Here is a 10,354-nt window from a genome sequence, read left to right as displayed (position 1 = left end):
AGGAAATAGTCATTGAATGTCTGACCTCTGGGCTGGCTGTCTCGGACTCTAAGCTGCCAGGGAACCAGGGCCTTCCACCCAGTGGGACTGCCTGGGGGCTTTTAAATGCCCCTGCCTGTCCCCTACTCCCAGAGATGGTGACTTCCTGGGTCTAGGCATTAGGAGTTTGTAAAACTCCCTGATGATTCTTCTGTCCAGCCCAGGCTGAGAACCACTGGTCAGAGGCCTGGGCACATCCCAAGGCTCATCCAGAACCATGGGGTGCAAGTGACAGAAACAAGAGCGGCTGCTGATTGCCTCACTGAGCGGTGAAGCCCAGCCTTGACCATGGATTAGGCCAGCTGGACCCAGGAGCTCAGGCCGGAGGATGCCTGCTTCCCTCTGCTCTGCCCCACCGGCCCCAGCAGCCTGGGCCCACATCCTCTCAGTCAGAAGCTGGCTCTCACCGGCTGGCTGGGCTCACAGCCCCACCCTGAAACCAGCAGTGTGGCCCGGGGCCCCCGCAGGGCTCAGACAGCCAGGCCTTGGGTGGTTGAAGGCCAAGAGCTGGGGGCCCTCTGGGAACCACACAGCCGGGAATGGGAGGGGGTGCTCCCCAAGGGACAGTTGAGGTGCCGGCTTTCAGTGGGAGGAAAGGGAATGGGTATGAGCTGGACAGAGCCATTATGTCACCCAGAGAGGCTCTGTCCCCCGCCCCGCTGAGGGGGAGACAGTAGGAGAGTGGCCACAGGTCCAGCAGTGGCGAGCACAGGCTCTGGGGTCAGGTGTTGGAGCAGGGTCCAGCTCCTCCACTGGCCAGCTGCATACCTGGTTCTCAGTGCCTCCCTCCCCTGGGGACAGGGGACAGTGCCATGCAACCTTGTGGGGCACAGGCCCTCTGTGTGGTCAGCATGCCAAGAGCACAGAGAGGGTGGATTTGCACATAAGCAGCCCCCTGTGTGGTGTTCACCCAGCCAGCAACGTGCTAGACCCAGGAAAAGACTCGGAGCGCTCTGTCAGAGTCCACAGCCACACCACCAGGTGCAGACTGTCTGGGCCCAGAGCCTCTGCTTCTTCCCCTCCCGTCCACCAAACGCCAGCCCCTGACCAGCCTGGCGGCCTTTCCAACTGAGTGTGGCTGTTAGTCCTCTTGCAGGCCTTGCTCCAGCCAGACTCCCACCTTGGGCCTCTGCCAGCCTGGCACTGATAGCCACAGGCAGAGCTGAGACAAAAGAGAGGGGCCCTGGGGAGTATCAGCAGCAGCCAATCCCGGAAGACATCTATGTCAGGTGGTTTCTGGAAATCGAAAGTAGACTCTTTTCTGAAGCATTTCCTGGGATCAGCCTGACCACGCTCCATACTGGGAGAGGCTTCTGGGTCAAAGGACCAGTCTGCAGAGGGATCCTGTGGCTGGAAGCGAGGAGGCTCCACACGGCCGTTGCAGCTACCGCAGCCAGGTAAGCTCCTGCCTCTAGCTCTCAGGTGGGCACCCCTCTCAGTCTCTCTCTCTTTTTTATTTTTATTTTTTTTGAGACAGGGTCTCACTCTGTCACCCAGGCTGGAGTACAGTGATGCAATGTCCGCTCACTGCAGCCTCTGCCTCCTGGGTTCAAACGATTCTCCTGCCTCGGCCTCCCAAGTAGCTGGGATTACAGGCGCGTGCCACCACGCCCAGCTAATTTTTGTATTTTTAGTAGAGACAGGGTTTCGCCATCTTGGCCAGGCTGGTCTCAAACTCCTGACCTCTGGTGATCCACCCGCCTCGGCCTCCCAAAGTGTAGGGATTACAGGTGTGAGCCACCGCGCCCGGCCAGGGCACCCCTCTCTCTACACAGGCAAGTGGGGGTCATGCCTCCCTGTTTGCACATAGGCCTGGAGCTGGGGATCCAGGGCTCCTGAGTCCAGCAACAATCATTGCTGCTCCCAGGCCCACAGGGCCTCTGTGTACAGTTGGGCAGATTACTCACTGCACAAGGATACCAGCCAAAGGGCAAGTGGGTTAGAATTCAGCTTGGCCCTCTCTCAGACCTGTGCATTTGGCCTAGGCCTGCACCCACTCCAAGGAAGAGCACCTTTTTTTCTGATTTGCACGAAGGGGCCAACACAGGCAGCCGGGTCTCAACTGTATGAAGGAATCAGGCAAAAATAGCCGCTGCCACACAAAGGGCAGCGACGCCACCTGCCAGGTGCTTCGTTGCCCCCCCCCCTTTTTTTTTTGAGACAGAGTCTTGCTCTGTCACCCAGGCTGGAGTGCAGCGGCTCACTACAATCTCTGCCTGCCGGATTCAAGCAATTCTGTTGCCTCAGCCTCCTGAGTAGCTGGGACTACAGGTGCACACCACCATGCCCAGCTTATTATTATTATTATTTTGTATTTTTAGTAGAGCCGGGGTTTCACCATGTTGGCCAGGCTGGTCTTGAACTCCTGACCTCAAGTGATCCACCTGCCCCAGCCTCCCAAAGTTCTGGGATTACAGGCGTGAGCCATCGCGCCTGGCCAGTTGGCCATTTTTCCAAGGCCCTGAGTTACTCTCCCAGGACGGACAAACCTAGTGGCTGCAGCAGAGTGAAGTGGCTGGGGGCAGAAGTGGAGAGGGCGTCCACCCATACCGGCGTGCCTGGGACTGAGGGGTTTCCCAGGACACAGGGAAACTTCAGTGCTAAAACCAGCACAGTCCCCAGCACACAGGACAGGCGGTCACACCCTGGCCCCTTTAGCCATCTACTGACATTGACACAGGGAGGAGAGGTGGGCTCCCCCGAGCAGACCCCCTGCCTGTGGCTCACTGACTGTGGATGTGGAGCCCATTTGCCTCTCTGGGTGTCAGCTCATTCACTTGTAAGGTGAGGTGTAACTAAGGTGGTTCTCAGGGTCACGGTAAGGCCTCCAGTGGTGCCCGGGGAGCCCCGACAAGGGGTGGCTGCACAGTGCCAGCGAGCACGAGTCCCAGAGCAAAGCTGCTCACCAGCCAGTGCACCCAGCTCCCAGGGCGCTTGTTCATGCAGACTCCCATGCAGAGGGGCTAGGGCAAGGCCAGCCATGACTGCATTTCCGACAAGCTCTGGGGATGCCATTGCAGCCGTCCACCAGGCCCCCTCCAAGCAGCCTCAAGGTCACCAGGCCCAGACTCCCAGCCGGTGCCCACAGCAGTGCCACCCAGAGGCCTGCCCCAGGCTTGCTGAACTGAGGGGACAGTGTCAGGTATCACAGGATTCTTACCGAGCCAGAGAAACCATAACTGTCTCTCCATTGGCAGGGTGTGGGGGAGGGAGGCAGACGAAGACAAAAGCGTGGAAATTACACGGAGGCAAGAACACCAGGCCAGAAGGTGGAGACCCGGACCTCCCCAGTCCTGGCCTGAGTGTCAGTGTCTTGGGGATACTTCAGCATTTCCTCCCTGTTCTTCCCCCAGCCTGGCCCACCCTGGGCTGCAGCCCTGACCCTTTTCATCTATCTTCCCCATCGGAACACCACGGAGCCCCGATATATCTCCCTGCCACTTATCTCTGTCACCCCTCGCCCGGATTCTGTGCCCTCTCCTGACGAGTCCCCTCCCATCCACTCTCCAGGCTGCAGCCTCGTCTCTGCCTGCTGAGACCCTCTGGGACAGTCCCTGCAGGGGTCTGTTGCCTGAAGCTTAAGGCCGAGATCTTAACCAGGCTCACCCGGCCTCCCGACCTGGGCCCACGCCTGTGGCCTCCTCCATCTCCCCGCCCATGCCCGTGTGGCAGCCTTGCCCGGGGCCTGGTTTTTTGAGATGAGCTCACTTGCCTCTAGTCACCAATTCTTGCTGCCCTTACTGCCAGGGGGTGCCCCCAGCCCACGCTTCATCTAGCCAAGTGTTACACATCCTTCCAGGACCACACTGCAGACCAGGTGAGGGGCCCCCGCGGGGGCATCCACAGCACACGTCACACTTACTGGGATCATAGTGGGCTCTGCAAGAGAGGGACCCCGCCTGCCACACAGCCCAGGTTGGGCTGAAGGGTGAATGGGCAGGCCAGTCCCTGGGGCCTCGGGCCATCTGGCTCCCGTGCCTCACCCCTCCGCTTCTGTCTGCTGCAGGATCTGGGCATCCAGGCACGGCCATGACCCCTCCGAGGCTCTTCTGGGTGTGGCTGCTGGTTGCAGGAACCCAAGGTGAGCTGAGCCCCTGGGAAATACCAAAAGCAGAAGTGTGGAAGGCTGGTGCACCCTGGGGCTGCTCAGAGCTTCAAGGAGATATTCTGCCTGGGGCCCGGGGCCCAGCGGTTAGCCAGATCTTCTCTCCTGCTTGAAGCACCAGGTATCCCCAGTGATGATGACTTGGAGGTTCCCGGGGGCTCACCTGGGTTCAGGTGAGATGCAGGTTATAGAGAGGACACTAGGGAATCCTCCATTCCGTCCAGAGGGAACCAGAGGGGCTGATCAAACCAGCAGTCACAGGGGCCGTTGTGAGGTCAGTGGCCTTGGACGCAGGTCAGTCTTCCAGAGGGTCCTGGCTGCTTTTCCTCACATTCTTTACACTGTGAGCCCCTGGAAGCTCATGCTCATCCTGGGGGCCCCATGGAAGCCAGATGTACCCCCGACTGGATTCAGGCACCCAGCTCCTGCCCGGCTCTGTCAGCTCCTGTAGGGGCTGGAGTGTTGGTGGACTGAGTCCCAGAAGGACATGTGGGGCGGGGGAATCCCATTATCTGCCCTGGAAACATTCTGCCTGTGCTCCCAGGGGTCCCTAGGCCTGCTGCCCCCATAGGCCAGCACCCCCAAACTGCAGACACCCTCTGCAGGGCGGGTCAGCACGGGGCCTCCGTTCCCCTCCTATCCTTCCCTCAGGGTCTTGCCACCTCCACTCCCAGTGCTGGAGAACTCAGGGCTTCTCTGCCCCTGTTCTGTCTATGGAGTGAAGGGCTGAGACCCCTAAAACAAGGAAAGGCGAGTTTGGCCTCCTTGCGGGGTAGGGGGGGCTGTATGTATCTTCCACTCCTCCCTCATGGAGGTGCCCCTCATGGAGAGGCCAGGGGACCTTGAAGCCCTGAAATACAAGCTCAGCAGGGGAGACCCAGGACAGCATATGGGGCCTGGAGGTGTGGGCGGTGGGTGCTGCAGGCCCCAGCCTCGCCCTCGCTGGTCTCTGCCTGCAGGCGTGAACGATGGTGACATGCGGCTGGCCGATGGGGGCGCCACCAACCAGGGCCGCGTGGAGATCTTCTACAGAGGCCAGTGGGGCACTGTGTGTGACAACCTGTGGGACCTGACTGATGCCAGCGTCGTCTGCCGGGCCCTGGGCTTCGAGAACGCCACCCAGGCTCTGGGCAGAGCTGCCTTCGGGCAAGGTAGGGCCTGCTGTCCCCTTCCACTGAGGCTGAGACCCACAGCACAGCCAGCTCCCAGGAGGGGCAAATCCCCTAAGACGAAACAGTCAGGTTTCAAAGACATGCAAATTGGATTCCTATTAATTTAGCAAGAGCAAACACTTTTTTTTTTTTTTTTTTTTTTTTTTTTTTTTGAGATGGAGTCTCGCTCTGTTGCCCAGGCTGGAGTGCAGTGGCACAATCTCGGCTCACTGCAACCTCCGCCTCCTGAGTTCAAGTGATTCTCCTGTCTCAGCCTTCTGAGTAGCTGGGATTACAGGTACCTGCCACCATGCCCGGCTGATTTTTGTATTTTTTAGTAGAGACAGAGTTTCACCATGTTGGCCAGGCTGGTTTTTAAACTTCCGGTGTCAAGTGATCCGCCCGCCTCAGCCTCCCAAAGTGCTGGGATTACCACACCCGGCCTATGAGCAAACATTTTCAATGGTGCTGAAGGCCTGCGGATCAAGTTCTGATGGGACTGCTCCACCCACACTTGGCCAGTGATGGTGGCGGGTGCTTGGGCAGGTTCAAGAGCTCGGCTGGGCTCGTTCCCTCCGGCCCAGAAACTCCACTCCAGGGAGTTTATCCCATTGAAACAATTTCTCCTCAAAAGAAAAGTCTGCAGGAAGATTTCCACTGACACAGCAGTTGCGATTCTGGAAAAAAAAGAAACAATCCATAAACTATTTAGCAGCAGGGATAGTCACACAATTACAGTATGTGAACCTGATGTTGCAGGGATAGTCACACAATTACAATATGTGAACCTGATGTTGCAGGGATAGTCACACAATTACAGTATGTGAACCTGATGTTGCAGGGATAGTCACACAATTACAGTATGTGAAACTGATGTTGCAGGGATAGTCACACAATTACTATACATGAATGTGATGTCGCTGAAGCAGCCGGTAAGCTTTATAAGCATGAAGGCTAAGTTTATGGCCTGACATTGCAATCACAAATCCAGCCCATGCTGGAATATCCTCCGTGGTTCGCTGGTGAAGGACCTGTAAGCAGATGGACCCACACGGCCGGGGCGGAGAACAAAGGGCTGAGTCGCGCTGTGGGACTCCTGGGTGCAGTCGTCACGCCCCCAGCCCTGCCATCTGCTGTGTCCACAGGATCAGGCCCCATCATGCTGGATGAGGTCCAGTGCACGGGAACCGAGGCCTCACTGGCCGACTGCAAGTCCCTGGGCTGGCTGAAGAGCAACTGCAGGCACGAGAGAGACGCTGGTGTGGTCTGCACCAATGGTGAGCGGGGGCGCACCTCCCTGCGGAGGCCCCAGTGTGCCCTGGGGTCCCGTGGCCCCTGCCCCTCCCAGCACCACCCCCCCACGCACATGAAGCACACAAAGGTTCCTTCCACTACCGCCTGCCCACTCCGCATGGAGAGGCCCAGACGTCCCAAGAGCCCACCAGCTCCCAGTCCCACAGTCCCAGACTCCTCCCCAGCCCCTTCTGGAGAAACACCCAGAACCACCAAGTCTCCATGCAGAACCCGAGTGTGGGGCAGTGAGCCACAGTTTCAGTGAGCATGACACCTGGCTCCAGCCTGACCTGAAATGCCAGCGTCCGCTCAGAAATACACTTCACAGCACGCGACAGGCTCAAGCCCGTCCTGGCGGAGGGAGTCCCGGCTACTCGCAGCCTCAGCCTGCTTCCCCCAACCTGGCCCAGTTTGGAGGGAACCCAGGCTGCTCTGCAGGTTGGAGCCTCTGGATCTGAGTTTCTTGTTTTTCTTTCATGCCGAGGTGGCTCTTCCTGGGCTTGCACGTGACAACCTGGGCATTTCCTGCCCACTGCCCTTTGCCAGGAGTTGGAGGCCCCTAAGGCAGGACGGGTCGAATCCCAGGGAGCCCCTGTGCCCACATGGGATGGACAAGTGGCTGGAGCTGAGCCTGGACTCACAGTGGGGGAAGCCCAGGAGACGCCATGGGGCTGTCGGGGGCCAGGGGAGGCGGCGGGGAGCACACGGGGCCATGGGCGCACGGCCAAAGCTCCTGGGGCAGGAGAGCTGTGGTAAGGCGTGCAGGTGGGAGGGAGCTGGGGGTCCTGCGGTGGCTCAGGTTTTAGGAGGCCCAGGGCAAGCCCACCTGGTTGAAAGGTCACAGTTACTTCAAAACTACTATATTTGTGGCGAAGAAAAACCTATGGGATTTCATTTTGAGTTAGGCTTTGAGAGGGGCTCAAAGAAGGGGAGAGGGTGCACCACACTGACCCCCGAGCCGGGAGCCTCCCATGACTTCTGCAGGCCTTCTCCCCGACAGGAAGCTGCTCGAGGACCCCCGGAGTTCTAAAATGGGGTTGCCACAGGACCCTAACTTTTCAGGCCATCTAAGCAGGCAGTGGTTTTGGTGTTAGTGGTGATTGGTGACCAAGGCTGGGGAGTGGGGGCTCCGGAGTCAGTACCACCAAGTCTCCATGCGGAGCTGCTGCCTGAGTCGGGGGAGCAGCACAGAGCAGAGGGCCTAAAGCGGGGGCCTGGACAGGCTTGGCCAGGTCCTAGCTGCTCTTGTTCCCCAGGGCTGGAAGGGGCGGGGCCTCAGGGTCCAGGAATCCGACACTTCCGGTCTCTCTTGTCCCTCGTCTTCCCAGGAGCCTTCCAGAGTGAATGAGGCAGCCACAAATCCCTCACTTTCAGATGAAGACACTGACCCCAGAGAGTGGCAGTGCCCCGGCTCCTAACGCAGCCCACTTCCCTCCCGCCCCTTCTTAGAAACCAGGAGCACCCACACCCTGGACCTCTCCAGGGAGCTCTCGGAGGCCCTTGGCCAGATCTTTGACAGCCAGCGGGGCTGCGACCTGTCCATCAGCGTGAATGTGCAGGGCGAGGACGCCCTGGGCTTCTGTGGCCACACGGTCATCCTGACTGCCAACCTGGAGGCCCAGGCCCTGTGGAAGGAGCCGGGCAGCAATGTCACCATGAGTGTGGATGCTGAGTGTGTGCCCATGGTCAGGGACCTTCTCAGGTGAGCCGTCTCGTCCTCAGGCTCTGGGGCCGCCAGGGGCTTTGTCCTCCTCCCCTCTTCAAAAGCACAGCCCCCCACACACACACCTGCACATACTCATGCATGCACATGTACACACGCAGTCACACATGCACTCACGCAGTTGCACACACACGCATGCTCACTCCCACACTGTGTGCACTCAGGTGGCTGTGTTGGACAGTTGGGCCCAGGGCTCCCCTGCTGTCCTGTGGGGCCGGCATCTGCTCTCCTTCTTTCTCCCCAGGTACTTCTACTCCCGAAGGATTGACATCACCCTGTCGTCAGTCAAGTGCTTCCACAAGCTGGCCTCTGCCTATGGGGCCAGGCAGCTGCAGGGCTACTGCGCAAGCCTCTTTGCCATCCTCCTCCCCCAGGACCCCTCGTTCCAGATGCCCCTGGACCTGTATGCCTATGCAGTGGCCACAGGGGACGCCCTGCTGGAGAAGCTCTGCCTACAGTTCCTGGCCTGGAACTTCGAGGCCTTGACGCAGGCCGAGGCCTGGCCCAGTGTCCCCACAGACCTGCTCCAACTGCTGCTGCCCAGGAGCGACCTGGCGGTGCCCAGCGAGCTGGCCCTACTGAAGGCCGTGGACACCTGGAGCTGGGGGGAGCGTGCCTCCCATGAGGAGGTGGAGGGCTTGGTGGAGAAGATCCGCTTCCCCATGATGCTCCCTGAGGAGCTCTTTGAGCTGCAGTTCAACCTGTCCCTGTACTGGAGCCACGAGGCCCTGTTCCAGAAGAAGACTCTGCAGGCCCTGGAATTCCACACTGTGCCCTTCCAGTTGCTGGCCCGGTACAAAGGCCTGAACCTCACCGAGGATACCTACAAGCCCCGGATTTACACCTCGCCCACCTGGAGTGCCTTTGTGACAGACAGTTCCTGGAGTGCACGGAAGTCACAACTGGTCTATCAGTCCAGACGGGGGCCTTTGGTCAAATATTCTTCTGATTACTTCCAAGCCCCCTCTGACTACAGATACTACCCCTACCAGTCCTTCCAGACTCCACAACACCCCAGCTTCCTCTTCCAGGACAAGAGGGTGTCCTGGTCCCTGGTCTACCTCCCCACCATCCAGAGCTGCTGGAACTACGGCTTCTCCTGCTCCTCGGACGAGCTCCCTGTCCTGGGCCTCACCAAGTCTGGCGGCTCAGATCGCACCATTGCCTACGAAAACAAAGCCCTGATGCTCTGCGAAGGGCTCTTCGTGGCAGACGTCACCGATTTCGAGGGCTGGAAGGCTGCGATTCCCAGTGCCCTGGACACCAACAGCTCGAAGAGCACCTCCTCCTTCCCCTGCCCGGCAGGGCACTTCAACGGCTTCCGCACGGTCATCCGCCCCTTCTACCTGACCAACTCCTCAGGTGTGGACTAGACGGCGTGGCCCAAGGGTGGTGAGAACCGGAGAACCCCAGGACGCCCTCACTGCAGGCTCCCCTCCTCGGCTTCCTTCCTCTCTGCAATGACCTTCAACAACCGGCCACCAGATGTCGCCCTACTCACCTGAGCGCTCAGCTTCAAGAAATTACTGGAAGGCTTCCACTAGGGTCCACCAGGAGTTCTCCCACCACCTCACCAGTTTCCAGGTGGTAAGCACCAGGACGCCCTCGAGGTTGCTCTGGGATCCCCCCACAGCCCCTGGTCAGTCTGCCCTTGTCACTGGTCTGAGGTCATTAAAATTACATTGAGGTTCCTACATTTGTTTGTACAGAAAGTGTTGTTGGGTCCACACCGTGTTTAGACATCAGGTGTGCCAGGCTCTGGGGGACAGGTCATGAGGCAGAGTCCCTGTCCTTGTGAAGCTACAGGCTAACGGGGAAGACAGGGAACAGGAAGCACACCTCCCAGCCCGGAGCAATGACACAGTGGGACACGAGCAGGAGGGTGCGTGCCACTGCATGCGTGCACGTGGGTGTGTGATTGCATGTGCACAGGCGTGTGTGTGCTCATGAAAGTCTGGCTGTGACGGGTGCCCTCACCCCTTATCTGGGTAGGTGTGCTCTTAAAATTTTATTTACTTTTGAGACAGAATCTTGTTCTGTCGC

General features: G+C 59.0%; 1 protein-coding gene across 1 annotated transcript, besides 3 other annotated features; it reads left to right on the top strand.

The window, feature by feature from the left end:
* Window positions 311-1,303: an enhancer, noted in NCBI's record as "H3K27ac-H3K4me1 hESC enhancer chr17:76976039-76977031 (GRCh37/hg19 assembly coordinates)". NCBI's record gives its function as "activates a minimal SCP1, AML or CMV promoter by ChIP-STARR-seq in naive H9 embryonic stem cells {active_cell/tissue: H9 hESC(naive)}" and the evidence as "EXISTENCE:reporter gene assay evidence [ECO:0000049][PMID:30033119]".
* On the top strand, window positions 1,337-10,005 carry LGALS3BP (galectin 3 binding protein). The gene is made up of 6 exons (NM_005567.4): window positions 1,337-1,436; window positions 4,046-4,120; window positions 5,104-5,295; window positions 6,441-6,572; window positions 8,038-8,290; window positions 8,556-10,005. The coding sequence occupies exons 2-6, from the start codon at window positions 4,069-4,071 to the stop codon at window positions 9,682-9,684; spliced, it is 1,758 nt and encodes a 585-aa protein (NP_005558.1). The 5' UTR covers window positions 1,337-1,436; window positions 4,046-4,068; the 3' UTR covers window positions 9,685-10,005.
* Window positions 4,401-5,084: an enhancer, noted in NCBI's record as "H3K4me1 hESC enhancer chr17:76972258-76972941 (GRCh37/hg19 assembly coordinates)". NCBI's record gives its function as "activates a minimal SCP1, AML or CMV promoter by ChIP-STARR-seq in naive H9 embryonic stem cells {active_cell/tissue: H9 hESC(naive)}" and the evidence as "EXISTENCE:reporter gene assay evidence [ECO:0000049][PMID:30033119]".
* Window positions 5,879-6,173: an enhancer, noted in NCBI's record as "tiled region #6708; K562 Activating non-DNase unmatched - State 8:EnhW". NCBI's record gives its function as "activates a minimal TATA promoter and a strong SV40 promoter by Sharpr-MPRA in K562 cells {active_cell/tissue: K562}" and the evidence as "EXISTENCE:reporter gene assay evidence [ECO:0000049][PMID:27701403]".
* Window positions 10,006-10,354: the final 349 nt, after the last annotated feature.

The sequence above is a fragment of the Homo sapiens genome, chromosome 17 (assembly GCF_000001405.40).
Source record: "Homo sapiens chromosome 17, GRCh38.p14 Primary Assembly".
Taxonomy (NCBI): Eukaryota; Metazoa; Chordata; class Mammalia; order Primates; family Hominidae; genus Homo; species Homo sapiens.
The sequence above is the reverse complement of the archived record's forward strand: the minus strand, read 5'-3'. Positions and strand labels throughout refer to the sequence as shown.